Source organism: Homo sapiens, chromosome 6 (genome assembly GCF_000001405.40).
Source record: "Homo sapiens chromosome 6, GRCh38.p14 Primary Assembly".
Taxonomy (NCBI): Eukaryota; Metazoa; Chordata; class Mammalia; order Primates; family Hominidae; genus Homo; species Homo sapiens.
The window spans coordinates 136,997,531-137,024,048 of record NC_000006.12 but is presented as its reverse complement, the minus strand read 5'-3'; the positions used below and the strand labels follow the sequence as shown (position 1 = coordinate 137,024,048).

Sequence of the window (26,518 nt, the reverse complement as noted above, 5' to 3'; positions counted from 1 at the left end):
GATCTTGGCTCACTGCAACCTCCACCTCCTGGGTTCAAGCAATTCTTCTGCCTCAGCCTCCCAAGTAGCTGGGATTACAGGTGCCTGCCACTGTATCTGGCTAATTTTTGTATTTTTAGTAGAGACAGTGTTTCACCATGTTGGCCAGGCTGGTCTCAAACTCCTGACCTCAAGTGATCTGCCTGCCTTGGCTTTCTTAAGTGCTGGGATTACAGGTGTGAGCCCACACACCTGGGCTAATTCTATTTTTTATCACTCCTTTGCATCATCAAAATAGATAAAAGCATGAGTATTCCTTGCTAGATCTTCATCTGTTAATTTTACTTTCACAGCACAGCCACTCTCTTCCTGATGGGACCTGTGCAGTTCTGCTTCATCGGCAGGTCCCACTTCTAGTTTGAAACTTGAGTTCCAAGCTTCCCATGCATCTCCCTCTCCACAGCCTGCATCTTGGTGCACAATGGAGCTACTGCAGTTATGGTCTCACTGGCTTCTCCCTTCTCCTCTTGGTCTATACAGTCTTTTCTCCCTTCAGCAGTGAAGTGATCCATTTGAAATATAAATAGGTTCATATTTTCCCCTGCAGCAAAGGATTCAATACTTTCCCATGAATTTCAAATATAATCCAGGCATTTTCCCAGAGTTTAGAGAGATGGGGGATCTAGCTCCTTTGTACTCCTTAGATTTCATCTTGGCCACTGTCCTCTTTGTCAGCTTTCCAAACTGATATTTTGACAGTTCCAAAGACACTGTCCTTTTGGATAGGCCCTTTCCCATCTCAGTGCCTAGAACACTGCCCTCTCCTAAGGCCCTGTGTATTTATGGGTTCTGTGACCCACCACTCCAGCCTTACTCCCTTGCTTAGTCTGATCACCAAATTTTTATGTATATATTTGTTTTTGTTTTTTACTTTTTAATGATGTCTCTCTTCCTACTACCCTGGAAGCTCTGCAAGGGCAGGAACTTACCTGTCTATTCACCATAAGATATCCACATGGTAGGCACTGTGTTAGTATTCAAGGGCTGCCATGGCAAAGTACCACCGGTTTGCTTTAAAAAACACAATTTATTCTCTCACAGTTTTGGAAGCTAGAAGTCAAAATCAAGGTGTTGGCAGCACCACACTCCTTCTGAAGACTAGAGAAGCCTCCTTCCTTGCTTCTTCCAACTCCTGGTGGTCCCAGTCATTTCTTGGCTTGTAGGTGCATCACTCCAGTCCTTCGTCTTCACATGGCATTCTCCTTGTGTCTCTGTGTCTTCCCATGGCTGTCTTCTTATAAGGATATCTGTTATACTGAATCAGGAGCCCACCTGACTTCAGTATGATCTCATGTTAACTGTATCTGCAACAACTCTATTTCCAAATAGGTCACATTCTGAAGTACTCAGAGGTTAAGACTTTAATATATATTTTATTTTTATTTATTTGTTTTTGCAAGAGAGGAACACAATTCAACCCATAAGCATACCCAATAAATATGAGTTGAATGACTGAATCAGATGAGTGTCGAACTGATGTTTCTCATCAATACAGATAGGATTGACTATAGTATGATTTATATGGGAGACAAAGAGCTAAAGTCCAAGGCCAAGGTGAAATATATGTGTCCATATCTATAAATTTAACTGTGGTTTCAAATTAATAGAAATCCTGTTCTCGGCAACTAAACATAAACCAGAGTAGAGTCCAACACAATCTTCTAGGAATCCCTACCTTCGTGGTCACCATATCATCTGGAGAACGTGTCAAAAGAGGAGGAGTTTCTGCTTGCATTCCCTAGGACCAGATAAGGGAGGACATATTCTGGCAGGAAAAGGAACGGACCTCCTATGACAAAATGTGGTGGGATCCCAAAAAATTTGCTGAACAGATTAGTATCTAACATTTTTAAATTCCCAAATTATTTGATGTATTAATATCATAGATTAATACATGTTTTCTCATCAGCCTTTTCTTATCTTTAAATTCTGCTTAAATTCTACTTGGTTTACAACGCTGGCATGTGAGTGAGGAGGTTAAGAGTATGGGTTCTGAACTCAGCTCCTCCACTTACTAGCTGTGTGAATTTGTGGCAACTTACTAAACTCCTCTGTGCCTCAGTTTCCTCATCTGTATAATAGAGATGATAACAATAGTACCTACCATAGGGCTGTTATGGAAACTGAATGAGTTGGTTTGTGTAAAGCACATAGACCATCCTGGCTGTGTGGTAAGGATTTAGTAAGTATTAGCGACTATTTTTATTATATGCCAACCAACTTGCTCATATCGACTAAATACATTTTAACATATAAAGGCTTTCACAATATTTATTATTATTATTAAAACAGAGCCTCTTAGCCTGTCATAAGTGGATCCCACTTTCAACATTTTATTTTTTGAGACAGAGTCTCGCTCTGTTGCCCAGGCTGGAGTGCAGTGGCTCTCTGCAACCTCTGCCTTCCTGGTTCAAGTGATTCTCCTGCCCCAACCTCCCAAATAGCTGGGACTACAGGTGCCCACCACCATGCCGGCTAATTTTTGTTTCTTGTGTTTTTTTTTTTTTGCTAGAAACAGGGTTTCACCATGTTGCCCAGGCTGGTCTCGAACTCCTCACCTCAAGTGATCTACCTGCCTTGGCCTCCCAAAGTGCTGGGGTTACAGGTGTGAGATACCACGCCTGGCCACAACATTATTTTTAATCATACCCAAATATATGATACCATTTCCAGGTGAAACCAGAACTAATCCAAAGGAACAAGCAGTCCATGTGAGAGAATTCTTTTAACTCCTCTTTGCAGAAAAGTCAAACCTCTCTGTAGTAAGAACCATCTATTTCCATTGATCAAAGACACATTATTAAAAGTCCATAATTAACAAAATACTACTAATCCACAGCAATTTATAAGCATCCATTTCTGAAAATAAAATGTCGACAAGCAGAGAGACAAGATGTGCTTTGCCTGATCTAAGGAAAGATGACTAACGTGGCTTAATTTGTTCTGATTTAAAAAAAAAAAAAAGGTTTCAAAACCAGCAGACCATGTCATAACAGGAATATTTTGTGTCCTGGAGAGATTTAGAGATGGGCTGATATCAAGACGTGACCTACTTTTCTCATGACAGGTCTGCCCCTGAATAATAGTTTGATTTATTGACAACAGGATGATCCAAAACTGAAACATTTTCTGCCTCTGCCATCAGAAAGATAACGTCAATCCAAAGGAAGAAACTGCAGGTCTAAAAGCTGTAGTATTTTTTCCCCAGATGCAGTGTACAAAATATAACATTCATTTTTAAGTGGATTTCTGTTAAAGATGTTTATTACTCTGAAATCTTGTCAGCGTATTTGCAATGAGCTTAACTAAGCATTTGTTTTTTAAAAAAAAATTCAAAAAGTTTTTACTGTGATCTTTACTTGCTATTAAAAAGATAGTAAGTTTCTGGTCTTCTCCTCGGGTAGTTTTTAATTTTTTTCATAAACATAAAATCAAACTATTAGAAAGAACATTTCTCAAAATTGTTAAGGCAAGAGCCATTTATTAAATTATTGGGAATGGAGGGGTTTTTTTTTTTTTTTTAGTGATTGGTCTGTCTTAGATGCTTTCAGTTTTAGAATCATTGTTGTATTCATTCTCTACTATTAGGTAACAAATTACCTTACACTTAATAGCTTTAAACAACAAATATTATCTCACATATTTTTTGAGGGTCAGGATTCCAGTAAGGGCTTAGCCAAGTGGTTTTGGCTGAAGGTCTTTCACAGTAGTGTAGTCAAGAGGCAAGCTGGGGCTGCAGTCATCCGAAGGCTGGACTGGGGTCGGAGGATCCACTTCTAAGATCACTAACGTTCCTCTTGGCAGGAGGCTTCACTCAGTTCTTCAGCAGCTTTGGGAAGCCTCAGTTACTTTGCCACATGGGCCTCCACAGGGCCACTCACAACAAAGCAGCTGGTGTTGCCCATGCAAATGATCCAAGACAAAGAAAACAAGACAGAAGCCACAGTGCCTTTTATCACCTAATCTCAGAAGTGTCTTTTGTCATGGCTTTTGTCATATTTTATTGGACACACAGACCAACCCAGGCACAATGTGGGAGAGAATGATACAACCTGTGAATGCCAAGAGGAAGGGATTATTGGAGGCCAGCTACCACAGTCATGGTGATAGATAAGATTTACCCATAATGTAGACGTGCAGGGGAGGCATACATAGTTCACAGCATTTATAATGAAATATATTCTCTTCTCAAAGAATAGAATGGCATAAGAACATTATTTTTTAATGTTATTATTGTCACATTATTCATTCTGTTGGTTTAATATCATTACCAGAGTTTGCTAACATTTCAACAATTGGCATAGCATTTGTGAAGGACCATTTAGACAATTACAAAGCATTAATCAAACTGTCTACTGAATCAATGAACATTAATTATTGACAGAACATTCCAGAGTATAGTTTATTTCAGAAGAGAAAAATTGCTTTGTTTCCTTATGACAGCAACCAAAAAAACTAAATTAAAATAAAATTGCCTGTCTATTTCTTTTACTCCAAGTTATTTCTCAAAACTTTTTTGGGTATGTTTTAGGCATCTTGAGAGCTCTGTCATTTCTTTACTCACATTAAAAAAACAAATAGGGCTGGGCGCGGTGGCTCATACCTGTAATCCCAGCACTTTGGGAGGCCAAGATGGCAGGATCACCTGAGGTCAGGAGTTGGAGACCAGCCTGGCCAACATGGCAAAACCCCATCTCTACTATAAATACAAAAAAATTAGCCAGGCATGGTGGTGAGTGCCTGTAATCCCAACTATTTGGGAGGCTGAGGCAAGAGAATCATTTGAACCTGGGAAGTGGAGGTTGCAGTGAGCTGAGGTCATGCCACTGCACTCCAGCATGGGCAACAGAGTGAGACTCTGTCTCAAAAAAAAAAAAAAGATAAATAGAATACAGTGTTGTAGAAGATAAAGATTTGTACAGATTGAACCTTGAGACGATATGCCTGGACTATACTATCTAAGATAACTTCTGTTTTCTATCTCCAAACTCATGTTGCCACAAACCAAAATGTTCAATTTCCTTTTCATTTCTATAAAGCCATGTTTTGACAATGTCTTCCACCAGTGATATTATAATGCACAGTCTATTTTATTTTGTATAAGATGCTAACCACTCTTCATATGTTAAGGCCATCTAAAAATGTAGGCCACAGCATTTTAGCTCTGGAAAGATCCTTGGCAATTTTTATGTTAAATGGGTTCCACATTTTGGAAGAGCTGAGAAGTGTTATACTCAATGTGCTGCCTCCTCATGTTCTATTTTGTCTTCAAAAATCTGATTAAAATTGAGAACCTAGTAGTACCACAAAGCAGTATTAAATCATTGATAAATATTCACTCTATGTAATCTCCAGAAAATACCAACACCACTTGCTACCCAATGGTTCCAAAGAATTACAAGAAGAAATCAAAGACTGATGTTGGGCAGGCTATGTCCTTTTGAGATTCCCCTACCCCTAACACACACACACACACACACACACACACACACACACGCACACGGCAGTGGTCAATTGATTGTGCTTCTCTGTAACATTTTTTAAAAAAATAAAACAAAATTTTTTAAATGAGCAAGGTTAAAAGTAGGAGTCATGACAATTATAACACAAGCATACCTACACTCAGCCATCTTTACACTAAAGAGCTAATTTTGCTTAGAATCAGGGTGATATTACAAAGTTTAATTCTAAAGTAAATAATTTTTCTTTTCACTTGGCTTGCAAAATAACAATACATTGTATAGAACTAATCTTAACTAAGGATTACCTCACACATAATTCCTTTCTCTGACATTAGTCCCAGCTACTTTACTCAAGAATTATGATCCTTAGCCAAGATTGGACCTGCCATCAGTGACTGAACTAAATTTTATTTCCTAAGTTTGATTGGCAGTATTAATATTTTATATTTTTCAAGTTCATTGATTGACTAGAATGTGCATATTTGTGACAGGATAAGTTGTTCATAAAACCTGATTGGTTATCACTCCGTGCTTTGTGATCTTTCCAATATTTTAAATTAATATTTTGATTCCTACATATTACCACTGAATTTTTTCATTTACTTTAATCCAAGGATTATCTTTGCTTTATTTTATAAGAAAGTAGCCTCTCCTTTCCTTTTCCAAGTTTTTAGTAGTTTCTCAATTCTTTACCATTTCTCTACAAGGATTTCTGTAAATTAATCCTCTAGGATACAGTTTTTCTTAGAGTGCACCTATGTGAACATATCAGTGTTTATTTAAATAAATTGTCTTATTTCATTGGTTCCTTTTCTAATTATTGCTTTACTATATTCTTTAGTAAAGGCAGTCCCAATTCTAACCTTTGAAACTCTGGCCTCTCGGGGTCACCTACTCTAAATTTTGTTTTTATATTTAATAAAGAGATTGTTTTAGTTCTCTGCTGTGCATAACAAACTACCCCCAAAACTTAGTGGTTTAAAACAATCATTTTATTATTTCTTAAATTTCTGGGGATTAACTGGGGCTCTGCCAGATGATTCTTCTGCTGATCTCACACGAGGTCTCTCATGCAGCTTCAGCCTGTGACAGAAGGGGCTAGAATGGCCACAGTAACTTCATTGTGGCCCCTTAATTGGAAGGCTGGGCTCAGCTGGGACACCAGGACAACTGAGCCTCTCTTCGTGCAATCTCTCAACATGGTCTCTCCAGCAAGTTAGCTGTTATTTTACATAGCAACTCGGGAATTTTTTTGAAAAGCAAAAGTCCTGGCTTAGTCCCAGAGCCACCTCTGCCACATTCTCTTTTCCATTTCAGAGATGTTACATAGGGCATGCATACTGGAAGGCCGTATTGGGGGCCATCTCTGGAGACTAGCTGCTACAGGAATCATGTTTTCCTTTTCTGCTACTAAGACCTCAATTCCTTTCTGCTCCTTTTTCAGTTCCCTGTGTCTCTGGTGGTTTGCCTAAACCTGCAAACATCACCTTCTTATCCATCAACATGAAGAATGTCCTACAATGGACTCCACCAGAGGGTCTTCAAGGAGTTAAAGTTACTTACACTGTGCAGTATTTCATGTAAGTTTCTTCTTTTCCTTTTGGCTAGCTTACAAACACAAGACTCAGACTCTTGTGAATTGTGTAAAGATAAACTCTCCGTGGTATTAAATGTGTTTGAAAAAGAGAAAAGTTTTAGATATTTCAGGTTAAGTTTTCTGGATGTTTTGTAAGATTAAATTAGAAAACAGTTTCTTCATGGAGACAGAGGCATTGGGGGGCTCAGGCAAGGCAAGGTTATTTAGACAGAGAAAAGAAGTTTCTAATAATAAAACATTATTAGGTGGCTGAGCAAACAAGGCAATCCATCATCTTGAAATTTCTAAGCTGTTTGGAATTATAGGCATCCTTAGACTCCTTGAAACCGCGTGCACATTTGGTGTGATCAGCTGTTGCACTTAAAGATAGCAGTGAATAGACATTTCATCTGGCCCTCAAAACTCATTGCAAGCAGGAAAGAATGCAAGACAGATAGTCAGTGTCCATCTTCAGAGAAACAAAGGAAATGGCCACAACCCTGACCACAAACTAGGAACCATCCAAGCCAAATCTTGTGGAATCTGAAGAAAAACAGCTGCAGAAACTGAAGGCAAACCTACCTACACCTTCCCAGCTCCAACCACAGGAAATGATTTCACAAAATAAGTATCACAGTGCAAAGAGGCCCACCTAACAATCTGAGAGCATGGAAATCTAAGGATTGCCACCACCAGAAATTAAGGAAATGTCCCCATGGAGCCCCAGCTGGGTGCCACAGAATATCAGAGGTGGTGAAACTGAAATAGAAATCAGGCACACAGGACATGTCCATTGTGGAGGCCCTGTCACAGCCCAGGGAGAAGCTGGGAATGAGCCGGGGTCAGGAGGAAAGGGAGGTGGCACTGGCTGGGAGGCAGCCCAGGAAGGCTACGACATCAGCCTCCTGCAGCCCAAAACCTGAGGGCAGACAGGCTTCACAGGGAGCAAAGGGAATAATGGATTTGGTGAGAGGGTGTTTGATGGAAACAGAAGTTTAAAATTATGGAGAGCATTGGCCGGACACGGTGGCTCTCACCTGTAATCTCAGCACTTTAGGAGGCCAAGACTTCTGGATCGCATGAGCTCACAAGTTCAAAACCAACCTGTGCAACATGACAAAACCCTGTCTCTACAAAAAATACAAAAATTAGCCGGTCATGATAGTGCATGCCTGTAGTCCCATCTACTTGGGATGCTGAGGTGGGAGGATGGCTTGAGCTGGAAGGTGGAGGTTCCAGTGAGCTGAGATCATGCCACTGCTCTCCAGTCTGGACAATAAAGCCAAGTCTTTTCACAAACAAACAAACAAACAAACAAACAAAAATTATGGAGAGCAAAAGCTCATTATCTGAGCCCTATTCTTATATCCATTTGCCTGTTCAACAAACAGCTGGCCCCACTCAAAAAGTAATAGTCCCAAGGGAACTAGCATAGCGCCTATTCATAATTACTGGAAGGGGGAAAGAAGAAAACAGAATACAAGTTTCCAGAAAGCTTTGCTATGGAAGTAAGGAAGAATTAAAATAAATAACAGTCCATAATTTTGTTAGAGTGCATAAACAACAGGATCTGTAAAGGTAAAACTCAAAGAAGAGAAAACAGTGAAAGAAGAGTTTCTAAGACAACAGGGAGAACATGCTTTTTTTTAAGGAAGTGTGCAGAGCTTAGGAAAATGCTGGAATATAAAAATACTGTATCAAGATGAAAAACCTGTTAGAGCTAAGTGATAGTAATGGTTGAACAGGTAATAAAAACTGTTTGGAACTGTGTATCATAAATGTGTGGTGTGTCTAGAAAAAAATTGGTAAAAACAATAGCAAGACATATCCTGGTGAAGTTATTGGACTTTAAGATAATTAAATGATTCATGGCCATTTTAGCAAAAGCAGAACTCAAGTTGAGAGAAAGGGAGAATTTCAATCTGGCAACACTCAACAGAATATATCTTGTGAGGAAAAGACAAGTATAACCTAAGACTCTTACGAAGTTCAGTAGACTGGTGTTTGGAAGCAGGTGGGAACTCAGGAGATCACTTTTCTGAGATCTTCCTGGAGGATGAGGTGGAGCACTAACTAAAGACGACCTCCAGCTAACAGAGAGATAAAGACAAACCCAAAAGAAGAACTTAGTGATGACCAAAAGACTGGTAGCATGCATGGAATTCATCTCAGTGTAGAACTAAGACTAAATAGTGATGGAAATGTAATTATAGAAGTTTCTTAGAAATAATTTGAATTTAAACAATAATATAAGGTGGAAAAGGGGGGGGGAACTATAAGTGTACTGATTTTCATAGCCAGAAGCCATTAAATGTCATCTAAAATGACAATATTTTATTATTTTAATAATTAACCTCTCAATATTTTTCACAAACCATTTTCTTAATTTAAAAGCTCTTTTAGGAACAAATATGTCTTGTGGTGACAAACATTTGCACTTCTGTAGTTTCTTTAATCTCACTTCAATTTCTTTTTTCTATCAAAGTTCAAGGCACATTGAATTGACTACTTTTATTAAAACCATATGTATGGTATAATCTAATTTTTGTCCATCTATTCTGCTATCATATCGTCCTTCTGTTTATACAGAAGCACAATGAGATATCCAGAATCATACACACCAAATGTTCCAGGGTAATGGGTTTTAGGATGATTTGTTTCTCTTTTGATTATACTTTCTGAATTGTTTGATTGTTTGAATTAAAAAAATTTACCATATTTTCAAAAAAGAATAAAGTCAGTTTTGTCTTTGAAAAAAAAATTCAGATAACTAAAACCAGTGAAAGACTTCAGCAGCGACTCACAGTGACCTCATTTATCTAGAACCTCATTCTCATTTCCAAGGAGTTTCTCAGGAGCCAGTGTTAGAGGAAAGAAATCACTTTGCAGAGAAAAGGCTCGTGAGCATGTCCTTGCCTCCTTATCCATTAGGTGGAGCAAAGAGCTTGCTCTGTCCTTTATGTTTTATGTGATCCAGAAAGGGATTTTTAAAAAATAGACAAGAGTCATCACTGCTTCGTGTGAGCAGATCACTCAGATTGTGCAACTTTTAAAAATATGTTTTTAAAAAGAAGCTTGCGATGTTGGAGTTCTTACATGCCTGTGCATGTGAAAGAGGGACAGGAATATAAGACAATGTATTTCACTGCCAGAGGGCTCCAAGCTCAGCTCTGGAGTCAGACAGTCCCCAGTTCATAGCCAGGCTATGAACCTAGCTGGGAAGGTTACAGATTATACTTTTATACTTTTGAGTGAAGTTTGTTTCCAAGGTGAAAATTTTCCAAAAGTTTAAATTCTATCCACCAAAACAATTAATGCAAAAAAATAGAATGTAGCACTAAAAACAGAAGTTTTGGCGTCAGGGAAGAGTGGTTCAAATCCCAGGAATGCTGTTTACTAGTCATGTGAATTTGAGTGGATCCCTTAATCTCCCTGAGCCTCAGCTGTCTCATCTGTAAAATGGGATGAAAATAAGAGTACCTACCCCCTAGGGTTGTTATGATAATTAGTGAGATAAAGCTTGTAAATCAGAGACCACTGAGGGCCCCATATGGCTGTTTGCCATGCGTGAGTGTCATTACTGGAATATTTGCTGAGTGATTCTGGTCATCATTCATTTATTTTGTTGAAAATCTTGTAAAGAGCCTTTTCTCCTGCATCAGCATCTGTCATGGGAAGCTGCCTTGCCTTTGGCAGAGTGAGGAAGTTTGAGGAGGGAGGGGCCACATAGGCAATGGCAATAGTCTTCAAGCCACAATTCAGGACTCTTTGATGACTCATGAAATGAATGTTGAGGGATATTATTTTTAATGGAAAGGAATGGAATGGTGTGGAATGGACTGGAATGAAAAATAACTGAATGCAAGGCATGTGGTAAAGTTTAAATATTTTCTTGTACAATTTTTGTTTTAATATGTTAGATAGTTTTATATTTTGTGAGCTGAATCACAATATAAAATGTATTTTTCTTTTCCCTGTGGATCATGGTCAAAAAAAAAAATTGAAAGCCCTTAAGTAACAGTGATCACTTGGATGGAGAAGTTGATCAGTAAGATCTGACTATATTTCTGATGTCTTTTGGTAGGTATGGTACTTAGGAAATGGGAAACATTTACTTTCAGAAATCTGTTGCCATATTCTGAAAAGAGAAAATATCCTTAAGCTTTGGCAATACATGGACATATCCTCTTTCTCAAGACACACTCTTCCCTTGACCTTTATGATATTTTTTTCTCATCCCTCTTTAGTTGCTATTTCCAGGTCTTCTTTCTATCCAACCTTTAAATCTTGACGCTCCTGAAATTTTATCCTAGACTTTATTTTGTTTCCATGGATCATTCATTCATGCTTGTGCCATCAATGAGCAGTTTGATGACATTGACTCCAAAATCCCTACCTCCCACACACATGTCTCTCCTGAGACCCATTGCCCACTGGGCATCTGCAGTGGGATATCTCTAACATACTCAGGCTCAAGGCATCAAAAGTGAACATCTTATCTTCCCCTCCTGCTCTGCCTCCCCATCCATTTCCCAAATCTGTTCTGTCTCAGTGCTCTTTTTCGTAGTAAATATCACCACCATTCCACCCATCTGCCCCAGACAGAAAGAGACAGCATCCTTAACACCTTCATTTCCCTAATCTGTTACATGTTTTCTATCACCAAGTCCTATCTCCTAATATTTCTTGCTTTTGTCCTGTCCTTATTTATCCTACTGCCCCTGTCCTTGTCCAAGCGACCTACATCTTCCCCTGGACCACTGTAGTGTCCTCTCAGCTGTTCCCTAGGCTGCCACTTGTAACCCATCACCTTTCCCAAACTGCCTCCCCTGTCCCTTTCACTGGCTTATCACATGTTACCTGAACTCTACACTTCAGTCTCTCCCACCTGAAAAGGGCTGAAAATATTGCCACCTCCCTATTTGCTATGGGGGTTGTGTTTTTAATAAAGAAAAGGAAAATCAGTATGACCAATCTAGTCAATATTATCATCATCACTATAATTATCAAAAATGCAGATTTCTGTATGCACTCCAGCCTCGTGTATTTTCCCTAGAATCATTGATACTTAGATTTTTATATGCTATGAGAACGTCAAAGTAATTTTTCTTCCAAGAAAAAAATGACAAACTGTTCTTCAAACAATCCGTCAAACTGACCTCGTGTACATAGTAGACTAAAAACCTACACAGATAATTACTAGAAGAATTGATCACACAATATGTAAAAATTTCACTGTAGCCAAAGAATAACAGTAAAATATATGCTTCCAAAATATACTGTCCACATTATAATTCACAGAAAGAAAGGTGATTACAGAAACTCTGACTCATGTTCCTGACAGCTGATGAAAAAAATTGCCCACCGCAAAAGTGGATTCTTTTTTATCTCAATGACAGGCACTTTTGTTTTTCTGAAGAGAAGGTCGTCAGTTCCATTCAGTTTTATAAAATGACTGAGTTTTTTTATTGTAAAGTATAGAGGGCACCTCATTATTAATTCAGCTTCTTTCTTAGCAGATATGGGCAAAAGAAATGGCTGAATAAATCAGAATGCAGAAATATCAATAGAACCTACTGTGATCTTTCTGCTGAAACTTCTGACTACGAACACCAGTATTATGCCAAAGTTAAGGCCATTTGGGGAACAAAGTGTTCCAAATGGGCTGAAAGTGGACGGTTCTATCCTTTTTTAGAAAGTAAGTAATGCCATTATTGCAATGGTCAGTTAAACATGTATTCATATCAGGTTTAACAGTCTCAGCCTCACAGACAGCCTTGCCCAGAGGAAGGTACTCTGCTTGGCTGTATTCTGGACCAGTGGGTTGAGTGAGCAGGACAAAGTCCTTAACCTTGCTGGCTCTGAGTCTCACCTTGATTGACTGATTGATTGATTGACTGTAGAGACAGGGCCTCATTATGTTGCCAGGCTGGTCTCAAACTCCTGGGCTCATGCTATCTTCCCACCTCAGCTTCTCAAAGTGTTAGGGTTACAGGCATAAGCCACCGCACCCAGCCTGAGTCTCATCTTTAGAGTGAAAGGTTTAACCAAGTGGTCTCTAAGATCTCTCCCAGATCCAAAATTGATACTAGATGACAATGATATCAAATTTTGACTTTGTCTTACTACTTTGTGGAAGCTATGTAATTTGAGGAACAAAATGACTTTATTTAATGTGGGTTTATGGACTATTAATGTCTCCACAAGATTGATTAAACATTGTCCTGATTATCCACTATGCTTCTTCTTGTATGAACTTGGTAGTGTGATGATGTAATTTCCAAGTGTAACCCAGAATTAAGGCAACTTCTTCCTGGTATTTACTTTTAAAATGTTGCCATCCCCTGAGCTATGGCTGACTCAGTCATGAAGGACCCACTCAGGGCTGCCATAATGAGCTCTGCAAGTGCTCCATAAGTCCAGGAGCCCTTCCGGATCAGAGGTCAGAAAACTACCCTTGGGACAAATCCAACAACACCCTTTCTGTTTTTCTACAAGCCAAGAGTTAAGAATGGTATTTATATTTTTAAATAGTTTCTAAAAATCCAAGGAATATTTTGTGACATTGGAAAAGTAAAGGAAATTGAAATGTTGATGTCTATTCATAAATAAAGTTTTATTGGGGCACAAGCCACACTCATTTGTTTACACAGTTACCTTAGATTGCTTTCGCAATACAGCAAGAGTGGAGTAGTGCAACAAAGATCATATGGCCTGCGATGCCTGAAATATTTACTGTCCAGACCTTTAGGATAAAAGTCGCCTGGTCTCTGTTCTAGATCATTCTAATCACATCTCTGATTTTCCACTTATCAAGTCATGTTGTTGTCATTTATCACCAACTTTTCAAGTCACAGAAATCTTACAAACAGTTTTGATTGTATTAACCATCTACTGTTTATGCATGTGACTAAGGAAACAGAATACTTGAGTTTGCTGTTCTAACATGGGATCAGGCTGTGTGAAGGTTGGTTTCAAGGTTGGTTTCAGGATGGTTTCAAGATCTGGCATATCTCAGGCCCACCTTAGTACATTTTGGGGCATCTCCTGTAAGAAGGTGTCTTTTAAGGCTGGGCGCGGTGGCTCATGCCTGTAATCCCAACACTTTGGGAGGCCGAGGTGGACGGATCACAGGATCAGGAGTTCGAGACAAGCCTGGCCAACATGATGAAACCCCGTCTCTACTAAAAATACAAAAATTAGCTGGGTGTGTTGGCAGGCACCTGTAATCCTAGCTACTTGGGAGGCTGAGGCAGGAGAATCGCTTGAACCCAGGAGGTGGAGGTTGCAGTGAGCCGAGATCATGCCATTGCACTCCAGCCTAGGCGAGGGGGCAAGACTCCATCTCAAAAAAAAAAAAAAAAAAAAAAAAAAAAAGGATGTCTTTTAGGGCCTTGATCCAAGTAGGATTATATGGTAGCTTTACCTAAGGTAATTTTTCATCTGAACATGATAATACCCTCTTTCTCCCCCTTTAAGCACAAATTGGCCCACCAGAGGTGGCACTGACTACAGATGAGAAGTCCATTTCTGTTGTCCTGACAGCTCCAGAGAAGTGGAAGAGAAATCCAGAAGACCTTCCTGTTTCCATGCAACAAATATACTCCAATCTGAAGTATAACGTGTCTGTGTTGAATACTAAATCAAACAGAACGGTAAGCCTGAAATGGAATGGGGCATACATTCATGTACCACTCTGTAGCTAATGTGGGAACAAACAACCCTGATGCATTGATTCTCTGCATGTGAATCTGGGAAGTCATGATGTTCAAAAGATACGCCGCACAAAATAAAGTTCTATATACAGAAATTTTACAGAACTAACTTCAGATCTTCTTTACAGAAACTCTGTTGACAGGATATGGTGTTGTTATTGGAGTGTAGAGAGATTGTACACTTCACTTTGATGAAGAGCTTTCACTTGCACAGTCTTTCTCTGAGAAGAAGAAAAAAATGTGAGCAAGGACCCAGGACAATGAATAAGAACTCTATCCATGTGTTGTTTAGAATTGTTCTCAGCATTGGTCCAGTTCCTGACCATGCTCTGCTGAGCTAAAGGAAAAGAGTATATTGAAACTGTTGCTGAAAAAAAAAAAAAAAAAAAAAGCTTATACTGATAGTAAAGAATTAAATGGTGCCTTGGTCTTCTATTTCCTTCTACAGTTATTTGTCTGGGGTGGTCCCAGAAATGTCTGGCTCTAACCAATGTTTGCAATTCCCTATCCTAGTGGTCCCAGTGTGTGACCAACCACACGCTGGTGCTCACCTGGCTGGAGCCGAACACTCTTTACTGCGTACACGTGGAGTCCTTCGTCCCAGGGCCCCCTCGCCGTGCTCAGCCTTCTGAGAAGCAGTGTGCCAGGACTTTGAAAGGTAAGCTTTAAAAAATCTTTGCTGGTCTAGGAAGGAGATCTGCTAAAACTAGAAGTCGGTATGATGGTTTAGACAAGGTTTTGACAAATCCGTGTCTAACAGAAACAGGTTGAGGCAAAGGCAGAAACAACTACCACCAGAAATGCGTGGAGCAGCCTGGGACTCTGCCATTGAGCTTGGCCGACGTTCAGAAGTGTTCTCACACCCTCGGAGAACTCATACAGGTCCCGTGTCCACTGCCAGCTTCTTTCCATGGTCCTTCGGCCACCTGCCTTGTGAATTAACAATGAAGAACTTTTACACATGCCTTTTTTCTTCTTTAAAATCATAATCACGCTGGGCATAGTGGCCCACACCTGAAATTTCAGCACTTTGGGAGGCCAAGGAGGGAGGATGGCTTGAGCCCAGGAGTTTAAGACCAGCCTGGGCAACATAGTGAGACCTCATCTCTATAAAAAATAAAATCAACCAGGCTTGGTAGTGCATGCCTGTAGTCCTAGCTACTCGGGAGGCTGAGGTGGGAGGATCACCTGAGCCCAGGAGAGGCTGCAGTGAGCCATAGGTGCACCACTGCACTCCAGCTTGGGCAACAGAGTGAGACCTTGTCTCAAAAAATAAAAAATAAAATCATAACCACTCTGATTGATAGAAATTCTGTGGTCTTCAAGAACATCAGACAATTTTATTGCTAGAAACAAAGCATTATTCTAAAACCACTGTAAAGCAGAATTCATTTTTTACTTTCCCTGGGGAATACTAATTATAGGTGCTTCCAGTTGTGTTCAAGTGCCACTAATTGGCTGCATGAGGGTCTGGGATCCACAAATCAGTGATCACTTCCTTATCCTTACAGTTGCTTCTCTCTATTTCCTTTTATTTATCTCCTCTTCACATTTTCTACACTGGGCTGCCAAGGAACCGTGATTGGAGATACCCATTCCTATGAGAAGACATAGAGTTGTGAGCTTGGCATTTGTTTAATTTTTCTGCCTTCACAGTGAGAGGAGCTTTAACTAAAAACTTGAAAATTGAAAAAAAATACATCCTAAAGTTTGCCTGCATCGAAGGGCTCTTCATCCATTATTCCTCCGCTTCTTTTCCAAACAGCTGGTCTAGAGACAGAGGCCGACGACCTCCACCCCATGCCTTGGCTCTATCACCAGCCATGGATAGGAATCCATAACCCCTGCTTTCCTCCTCCCTCACCCCTCCCACCTTTCACGATGAAACTGTCCGAAAGTAAAGAAAGGGAACTTTGTGAGTACCTGTGAAAAGCGCAAGGCTTTGCCTTTGACTCTCTGTCTTTATCATAGCTTTTCTTTTACAATGAAGGAGTCTCTACCATATATCAAATGAAACTAAAATGCCAAGCAAAACAAAGCATATTGAAGAAATCGCATTTGTATTTGGGAGAAGTGCTCTCTTTACTAACACCTTGATCAGTGCCAGCTGGTGGGAATGAATTTCCAGTGGAAATCATTAACACAATTGGAGCAAAAGCAACAAAATGCAGATTAAATTCAAAACTTCTCAGTAAGCAGATGAAGCCCACTTTCTCACTAATATGAAAAAAGTGGCCAAGTGCAATGGATCACGCCTATAATAACAGCACTTTGGGAGGCCGAGGCAGGAGAATCACTTGAGCCCAGGAGTTCAAGACCAGCCTGGGCATCATGGTGAAACCCCATCTCTACTAAAAATACGAAACTTAGCCAGGCATGGTGGCACACACCTTTAGTCCAAGCTACTTGGGAAGCTGAGATGGGAGGATCACCTGAGCCTGGGGAAGTCAAGGCTACAGTGAGCCGTGATTGTGCCACTGCACTCCAGCCTGGGCAACAGAGTGAAACCCTGTCTCAAAAAAAAAAAAAAGAAAGAAAAATTAACGGAATAATAAGGCTCTATTTCTGGTTCTGAACCCGTGCTATCCCAGCTGTTAGACCACCAGAGATATCTTTCCAACACACTGGTGTGAGGACCTGCTTTCTGAATAATCAGTATTACCTCTATTGGAACTATTCTTTAAAACATATTTCTGCTCTCTCGTCCCCCATCCCTAAAATACAATTATAGTTTATTAGGTTTGTTGTAATAAACATGGGTTAGTGTATACTAAATGCTATCAGTCATTGTTATGACTTTTTTCAATTAGGACAGGCTCAATCCAGGGACCAGGGATTGTATTAAGAGGGTTGGACTGAGTTATAGGCTACAAGCAGGGCAGGTGGTGTTCTGACACCCGCAGCATCCGCATCACAGCATTGGCACGTCTCTGTGTGGAACCTGGTGATGAATGTGCTCCTTGGGAATTGTGCAGGGTAACAGGCCCGCATGCGGAACTTTTCCCACCGGCTCTTGTTGACCACCCTCATCAGCCATGACACATCTGTTTCGCTTTCAACTGGATAGTTAACCAGATAGTGACTTTGCTGCTTTCTCTTGGGCCCAAGCATCAAGAGCATCCAACATTCTCCTGGATTAGAATGCTCCGGTCACACTCCTGCTGGTTTTGTTAGTGTGTAAGGAGCACACTCGGACTTTTGTCATTTGTGCTGAAGCTGCTCTTTTTCCTACAGCTGTATCAGTCAGGATTCTCCAGAGAAACAGGACCAATAGAATACATATAGATGCACATATCGATATATTTATTTGTTTAGAAATATTGATTTATTTTAAGGCGTTGGCTCACAGGATCGTAGAGGCTGGCAAGTCCGAATTTATAGGATAGGCAGGCTGGAGACCCACGGAAGAGTTGATGTTTGCAGTTCGCACCCAAAGGTAGACTCCTGGCAGAATTCCCTGTTCCTTAGGGTCATCAAGACATTTTTTATGAAAGTCTTCAATTGATTGGATGAGACTCACCCACATTATAGGTAGTAATCTGCTTTACTCAAAAACCTGCTGATTGAAATGTTAGACTCCCATTAAAAAAAACAACAACAACAACAACAAAAACCTTCACAGAAGGCTCTAGAATAATGTTTAGCCAAATATCTGCATACTGTGGCCTAGCCAACTGGACATGTAAAATGTACCATCACAACTTCCAAGTATACCACAGTGGCTTAACAAGTATGAGCTAGTCACAATGAGCTCTAGTCATCAGCTATATGGCCTGATTAATGGTGTGGGCCAGGGCTGCTTTTATTAAAACGATTTCCCAGGTCTTTTCATTTCCTCTGCGGACTTTTACTCATCATGAGCCTACAGCACAGCAGGCCCGGGAAGGGAGTTAACTGCCATTCGCACTGCACCCTGTCCAGCCACCTCCCTACACACATCCCCAGGCTCCAGCCCTACCCAGAAAGTCCAGCCAAACAGTGCAAGAACAGTTCTGCTACTCATATAAAAGTGGCGTCATGCATTCATGTCTTTCAGTGAACATGCAGAAAGATTGAGTCAAACAGGTGGCGTGGAAAAGTGGAGCAATTCAATGGGATCTTCACTGGAGGGTTTTGTTGTTTGTTTGAAATTCTGTGACTTACTTGAATATCAAATACACTTACTTTGAAATATAAGAACCTGCATGAATCTCATAGCCAGACATACGATGGTGGAATATGTGCTGACTTGGATGATTGATGTATCCTTAGTGTAAACATTTGAGGTACACTCAGATGATTCCTTCAGACCGTCTCTTGTCAGGGAGAGTAAGAATTCTGAGACCGCTTATAACATTTAGCTTAAGCTTCTCAACGTAGAGGTGAGAAAACTGAGTTCCCAAATGTAAGTGATCTGCACAGAAGCAGCTTAACGATACGAGGTTTTTCCCATCACATCAAATCACAACTATCTAATCCCTTCCCCCGAATTCCCACCTTTTTTTTTTTTTTTACAGATCAATCATCAGAGTTCAAGGCTAAAATCATCTTCTGGTATGTTTTGCCCGTATCTATTACCGTGTTTCTTTTTTCTGTGATGGGCTATTCCATCTACCGATATATCCACGTTGGCAAAGAGAAACACCCAGCAAATTTGGTGAGTACTTGGTGTGGCAGGGTTCTTTATTATAATAGTACACCTCCAGGAGGACAGAAGAGGAGGTTCTAGAACAGATTCAGTTCCCTTTAAGGGCAGAGTGAATTTAAAGTTAAATAGCTGGTGAATTAAAAAACAGTTTCTGGGCTGGGCATGGTGGCTCACGCCTGTAATCCCAGCACTTTGGGTGGCCGAGGCAGTTGGATCACTTGAGGTCAGAAGTTCAAGACCAGCCTGGCCAACAGTGTGAAACCCCATCTCTACTAAAAATGCAAAAATTAGCTGGATGTGGTAATGCATGCCTATAATCCCAGCTACTCGGGAGGCTGAGACAGGAGAGTCACTTGAACCCGGGAGACCAAGATTGCGGCAAGCTGAGACTGTGCCACTACACTCCAGCCTGGGTGACAGAGTGAGGCTCTGAGGCTCTGTCTCAAAAAAAAAAAAAAAAAAAAAAAAAAGCTTTCTGGATTAGCTGACTAACAGAACATTTTCCTTAGCTTTGAAAAGATGTTCTATTTAACCACCAGATTATACAAGGTCCCACAGATAAATTCAATCATGATCCCTGCCCTGCCCTTCTAGAAGTTCAAGCCTAGTCGAGGACTAGAATTTCAAAATAACACATGAAGGCTAAGATGAGAGCAGGCGCTGGGAATTCTGGGGGTACAAGGAGGGCCCCAAAACCCTACACAGGGGCTCAGCTCTCATGCCAGGGCTTGGCTATGAGAGGTGAGTAGGAGTTAGGATCCGTAGTGCAGGCAGAAGAAACAGCAAGGTGGATGTGTGGAAACTGCATGACACCCCTAAACAAGGAGGCTCCAGATGAGGAGCTAGAGAAGAAGATGAGACTGGAGAGTAGGCAGTGGGTCCAAGTAAGGGGAGAGCTGGGGTGCTGTTCTAAGGAGCTAGGCCTCATTCTACTGGCAAAGAGAAATCTCCATAGGGTTTTAGGTTAGGAGCATCATAGTCAGTATCAAGGTTTAGATCCAACCAGATATTAGTTCCAGGAAAACTTAGAGCGGAGTAAGACTAGAAACAAGAAAAGCACCTAGGGAACTGTAGCTTTGTCCAGGGGAGAGAAGATTCAAGTCTAACAGGCGAGAGTGGGATATCAGTCTAGAGAGAAAGACATGGAATGGAAACACACTTAGGAGGAACATGGCCATGACTTAATCCTTCACAGTAAGAAGAAGCAAGAAAGAAGAAAGAATTAAACCCACAGAGGTGGGACAATGTGCTGAAGGGTTCTGAAGGGCTGAGCATATTTTTAACAATCAAAACCATTTTCTTGAGAACTATTAAAAGATGTGTTCACGTGTACATGATAACATACCTTGTTTCCTGTTAGTTCAGTTTATAAGTTTTTCTATGATTCTGCCTGCATTCAGGTTTCAGAGTTGGCTTCTTAATGGCATTGGGAGACCTTTTCTGGAAGGAACATTCACAGGAGAATTGACCACCTGTGATTTTTTTGAAACTTAAAATGTTGTAAAAGATTGAGGCTGAAGGTTCTGTTTTGTAAAGTTAAATGAAATCACATGGTAGAGTGACAATGAGGATTGTAACTCATGCTCTCTTAGATAACAGGTATCTTTCATGGTACCCACAGCAATATTTTAATCTCATCTGAGCTTCCTTGACATGATTTAGAGTTTCTCTGTCTACCGTAAACTGGCAGATGAATTTCCTTTTTTGGCTCTATTATAGCATGATAAGAATGGTGTAAGGGGTAAAAACCATCCCTGCTCATATATTTCCCTCCTTTTCTACATCCAGTTCTCATGCCTGTCTGCATTTCAAGTATATCCAAAAACAGGGCAGGTAGCCCAGGTAACCACAGCTTATTAACAAGTGCATAGCAAACTATAAATAAAACAGTGTCACAAACTCTGCCACACCCAGTCTTTGCTACTCTTCATGTGGCTGAGATTCTGACTTTACAGAATGTAAAAAAGGTCAAGAAATGAAGCAACTCCTCTGCCAGTTAGAAGAGGGGGCACCAACGCCCCAGCCCCAGCCCTGGACTGGAGAAATACCCACCCAGCGAATCACTTCTCGCTTCCAACTATCTTTTGTGTGTCTTGGGTCTCTTGCCTCCCAGTGAGTGAGGTTTTCTGTATATTGCAAGCATAACTTTCATTTACATGAGTTGGTAAGAGTAGGTCTTTAAAACTGTCTGGTGACAAGATATTCTACCTAACAGCTGTTTTTAATGTCTCTCTAAAGTGAAAAGGTGAAAATCATTCTCTTTTCTCTTTATAGATTTTGATTTATGGAAATGAATTTGACAAAAGATTCTTTGTGCCTGCTGAAAAAATCGTGATTAACTTTATCACCCTCAATATCTCGGATGATTCTAAAATTTCTCATCAGGATATGAGTTTACTGGGAAAAAGCAGTGATGTATCCAGCCTTAATGATCCTCAGCCCAGCGGGAACCTGAGGCCCCCTCAGGAGGAAGAGGAGGTGAAACATTTAGGGTATGCTTCGCATTTGATGGAAATTTTTTGTGACTCTGAAGAAAACACGGAAGGTACTTCTCTCACCCAGCAAGAGTCCCTCAGCAGAACAATACCCCCGGATAAAACAGTCATTGAATATGAATATGATGTCAGAACCACTGACATTTGTGCGGGGCCTGAAGAGCAGGAGCTCAGTTTGCAGGAGGAGGTGTCCACACAAGGAACATTATTGGAGTCGCAGGCAGCGTTGGCAGTCTTGGGCCCGCAAACGTTACAGTACTCATACACCCCTCAGCTCCAAGACTTAGACCCCCTGGCGCAGGAGCACACAGACTCGGAGGAGGGGCCGGAGGAAGAGCCATCGACGACCCTGGTCGACTGGGATCCCCAAACTGGCAGGCTGTGTATTCCTTCGCTGTCCAGCTTCGACCAGGATTCAGAGGGCTGCGAGCCTTCTGAGGGGGATGGGCTCGGAGAGGAGGGTCTTCTATCTAGACTCTATGAGGAGCCGGCTCCAGACAGGCCACCAGGAGAAAATGAAACCTATCTCATGCAATTCATGGAGGAATGGGGGTTATATGTGCAGATGGAAAACTGATGCCAACACTTCCTTTTGCCTTTTGTTTCCTGTGCAAACAAGTGAGTCACCCCTTTGATCCCAGCCATAAAGTACCTGGGATGAAAGAAGTTTTTTCCAGTTTGTCAGTGTCTGTGAGAATTACTTATTTCTTTTCTCTATTCTCATAGCACGTGTGTGATTGGTTCATGCATGTAGGTCTCTTAACAATGATGGTGGGCCTCTGGAGTCCAGGGGCTGGCCGGTTGTTCTATGCAGAGAAAGCAGTCAATAAATGTTTGCCAGACTGGGTGCAGAATTTATTCAGGTGGGTGTACTCTGGCCTCTTGGTTCATTATTTTCAAACAAGCACACTTGTACAATTATTTTCTGGGTACTTCCCATATGCACATAGCACTGTAAAAAATATTTCCCAAAGATCACTCATTTTATAAATACCACTTTTTCAGAATTGGGTTTATTGCGAGCAGGAGGAGATACTTAAAACATGCACATATACCAGGTTGGTGGTAAGTTGGTCGCATGTGAAAACCTCAACTATTTAATCATCATGATTCATATTTTGAGTGAATACATCAGGCACAGACCTTCATGATATCACACACTCTTGGCTACTTTAAGAGGCCATCTTTAATACTTTATGAGTAGTTCTGGAGTGTAAACATAAACGAGTATTCTTTTGTAGTCAGAAAAGTGTCCTCTCAATAATTTAGTAGGGGCTTATTGTCTCTCAAAACTAACCTAAAAGAAAATGACACATTTTATAATAGAATATTACATTTATTTCTGGAAGTGTGTTTTCAAAAAGATATTTACATAGTCTGTAAACTAGAAAGTGTTAGGTAAAGCTCTAGGTTACTGTGTTACTATTATAATATTAAACATTCGAATAGGCAGTCGTTCAAAGACTCTTTGGAATATCTATGAATGAATATCCTCTATTCTTATAATATTAAAACCCATAAGTAAATATAGGACATACAAGAGAAATGAGTTAAATGACTATGTAAGGGAGAGTTTATTAAAATTTGATGAAATTTACTGTAGGAACTAAACTATGCCATAAAACAATAGCTTTCTAGTTCATTTCCAGTAACTGTTCCCATCTCCTTTACCACTTGTTAAGAAAATTAAATTCTTCAGTCACGCTGCTTTAAAATGGGACAAAATCTATTAAGTTGAACCATATATAATTGTGGATATTTGGCTGTTTTTAATCTGACAAGCAGTAACTTCATATGGTTTGCCTTAATATATATTTGTTTTAGTCATGAACTCATAATCCATTGATGCTCTTTCATGAGAAGAGATATCACCCATATTTCCTTATTGATATTATTGGTACAGGCAGACAACCCTGGTAGGAGAGATGGATTCTGGGGTCATGACCTTTCGTGATTATCCGCAAATGCAAACAGTTTCAGATCTAATGGTTTAATTTAGGGAGTAATTATATTAATCAGAGTGTTCTGTTATTCTCAATCTTTATAGAAACGATTCTGCTGGTTTTGAAGAACAGATGTATTACACTAACTGTAAAAGTAGTTCAAGAGTGAGAAAGAATAAATTGTTATTAAGAGCAAAAGAAAAATAAAGTGATTGATGATAGTTCTGCTTATTAATTCCATTCACAAAATATTCTCTAAGTACCTAATATGTCCTTCAGTGTCCTCATCTGTGCAATAGAAATAAGAGCTGCCTTAGGGCTGTTTTGAGGATTAAAAGAGTTGGACTATAGAAGGTACTTAGACCTGTGCTGGGCACATAGTGAGTGCTCCCTAAGTGTTTGTCATCATCATCATTAACTGCCAGGTCCCATTACTAACTGCCAGAAAGAAACGCCATTTAGACATACAACTATTGTGATTCAAAGGCAGACCTTGTCTAACTCTGTTTTTCTTACCAGAGAGTAAATAGTAATTTGCTTCCTACTTTGTGCCCTCAGATTGAAATCCTTCAGTGATTCAGCCACATTATCTGGCTTCGTAAAAGGGGAATCTAATTCTGAGTTGCTTTTACATCTCTTGTTATTCCAAGCATGTCAGAAATATTGAGCATTCTCTAATTTTGCTGCTTCAGTTCTTTGCAACTTATGTATATATTGAACCTATATATATACACACATTCAAACATGAGCATACAGTAGATATTTCTCATGGGGGTGGCGACATCTTCTTAGATGCGGTATATCTGTGTGGGAGGCAGCTGTCATGCATCCTGTTCCTCCTGTGGCCACGCCTCACCATCTCCAAGAAGCCACCCTTTGGTCCGCTTCAGATTCCATCTCTGTGCCTGAGGTTCAAGTGGAGCTGAGAAGTTGAAGTTTCAGAGTCCGACAAGTATAGTTGGTCCTCTGTATCTGTGGGTTCAGCATCCATGGATTCAACCAATAGCAAATCAAACATTCATTAAAAAAAAAAAAATCCACAAAGTTCCAAAAAGTGAACCTTGAATTTGCATTGCACTGAGTACTACACTGAATGCACTTAAATGAAGTGATGTCTAGGCCTATTGGGCATTACAAGCAATCTAGAGATGATGGAAAGTATACAGGAGAATGTGTGTAGGTTATCTACACCATTTTATACCATGGACTTGAGCATCCGTGGATTTTGGTATCCTCAGGGGTCCTGGAACCAATCCCCAGTGAATACCAAGGGACAACTATGCTGTTCATCTTATCCCTGGTCATTCCCAGGATTTTATATACCACTTGAACATTAGTTAAGTTTTCCTTATCTAATAGAAATAAAAAACATCTATTAGCAGCTCCATTTCCACACCCCATAAATCCTAAACAACTGGTGAACGAAAATACCACCTCTACAAAGTAAGTGAAACATAGTGCCATGTCTTCCTCTCAAGAAGGAAGTGAGGGAAGTGAACTTGTCACTGGAGCCCATAACATGGGAAAGATTTGGTGCCTGCCCATGCCGAGCCCAACTGGAAGGAAATCAGTGCAGAGAAAAACTATTTGTACAGCCCAGAGCACAAGACCGCCAGCTTGGTAAATCTAATGAGAACATTAAACAGAGGATTGGTTGTCATGGATGGGTACCCCTGGGTCATTAATCAAGTTATTTCTGGCCCACACATTACCACCCCCACATCTTGCAGATTAATTTTTGCTAAATTATCTTAGAAGAACTTTTCCTTTTTAATTCCCCACATTGTGTCTTCCATAAACCTATCTACAGATATTTTTCAAAGATTTTGCTCAAAAGCATGTACCTATAATTTTTAAAATAAATAGTGCTATGGTTATGGGTATTTTAACAATAGCTTTTATTTTTATTATAGAAGACATATATTAAGATATATGTATACCTATTCATTGTAGAATAACTAGAAATAAATAGGGGAAGAAAGAAAAATTACCTATAATACTGTCACCCAGATTTAACCACCATAAACATATTTGAATAGAGAAATGATTCTCAACTGGGAGAATTTTTGTCCCCCAGGGGATATGTGGCAATGTCTAGAAAATTTTTGATCGTCACCACTCAGGAGGAGGGTGCTGCTGGCATGTAGGGGGCCAAAGCCAGGAATAAATACTGCTAAACATCCTACCATAACAAAGAGTTATCCAGCCCAAAATGCCAATAGCGCCTCAGTTCATAAACCTTGGTGTAGGACTTTCCGGACATTTTCATTGCATGTATGTAAATATTTTTGCCAAAAGTGGGGATTATATTGGATTATTTTATAACTTGCTCCTTTCACTCAAAAATATGTAACTATCTGATTTTAACTACAGATTAAGTTTATAATGCACCAATCTTAGTCAAGCTAGAACATTTGAAACAACAGATTGGGAATTATTTTTTCCAAACATAATGCTTTAAAACAGTTTTAGGCCAGGTATGGTGGCTCCCGCCTGTAATCCTGGCACTTTGGGAGGCCGAGGTGGGCGGATCACTTGAGGTCAGGAGTTTGAGATCAGCCTGGCCGACATGGTGAAACCCCATCTGTACTAAAAATAGAAAAATTAGCCAGGCGTGGTGGCATGTGCCTATAATCCCAGCTGCTCAGGAGGCTGACGCGG

At 40.2% G+C, this 26,518-nt stretch overlaps 1 protein-coding gene across 5 annotated transcripts in view, besides 3 other annotated features; it reads left to right on the top strand.

The window, feature by feature from the left end:
* Positions 1–24,078, top strand: part of IL20RA (interleukin 20 receptor subunit alpha) — a 44,995-nt gene extending 20,917 nt beyond the window's left edge. For 2 of the 5 annotated variants that reach the window (NM_014432.4, NM_001278722.2), the window contains exons 2-7: positions 6,946–7,081; positions 12,597–12,775; positions 14,557–14,732; positions 15,306–15,450; positions 19,289–19,428; positions 21,694–24,078. In NM_014432.4, coding sequence (NP_055247.4) covers positions 6,946–7,081; positions 12,597–12,775; positions 14,557–14,732; positions 15,306–15,450; positions 19,289–19,428; positions 21,694–22,491 — 1,574 coding nt within the window. In that variant the 3' untranslated portion in view covers positions 22,492–24,078. Of the gene's footprint in view, positions 1–6,945; positions 7,082–12,593; positions 12,776–14,556; positions 14,733–15,305; positions 15,451–19,288; positions 19,429–21,693 lie in introns of all 5 variants that reach the window. The other 3 variants (XM_017010954.3, NM_001278724.4, NM_001278723.3) reach the window with 3 other exon arrangements.
* Positions 4,089–4,258: an enhancer, noted in NCBI's record as "experimental_90351 CRE fragment used in MPRA reporter constructs". NCBI's record gives its function as "activates a minimal promoter by MPRAs in K562 erythroleukemia cells, with activity observed for both the introgressed and non-introgressed 6:137341013 variant alleles {active_cell/tissue: K562}" and the evidence as "EXISTENCE:reporter gene assay evidence [ECO:0000049][PMID:34662402]".
* Positions 6,900–7,069: an enhancer, noted in NCBI's record as "experimental_90349 CRE fragment used in MPRA reporter constructs". NCBI's record gives its function as "activates a minimal promoter by MPRAs in K562 erythroleukemia cells, with activity observed for the introgressed 6:137338202 variant allele {active_cell/tissue: K562}" and the evidence as "EXISTENCE:reporter gene assay evidence [ECO:0000049][PMID:34662402]".
* Positions 21,678–22,221: an enhancer, noted in NCBI's record as "NANOG-H3K27ac-H3K4me1 hESC enhancer chr6:137322965-137323508 (GRCh37/hg19 assembly coordinates)". NCBI's record gives its function as "activates a minimal SCP1, AML or CMV promoter by ChIP-STARR-seq in naive H9 embryonic stem cells {active_cell/tissue: H9 hESC(naive)}" and the evidence as "EXISTENCE:reporter gene assay evidence [ECO:0000049][PMID:30033119]".
* Positions 24,079–26,518: the final 2,440 nt, after the last annotated feature.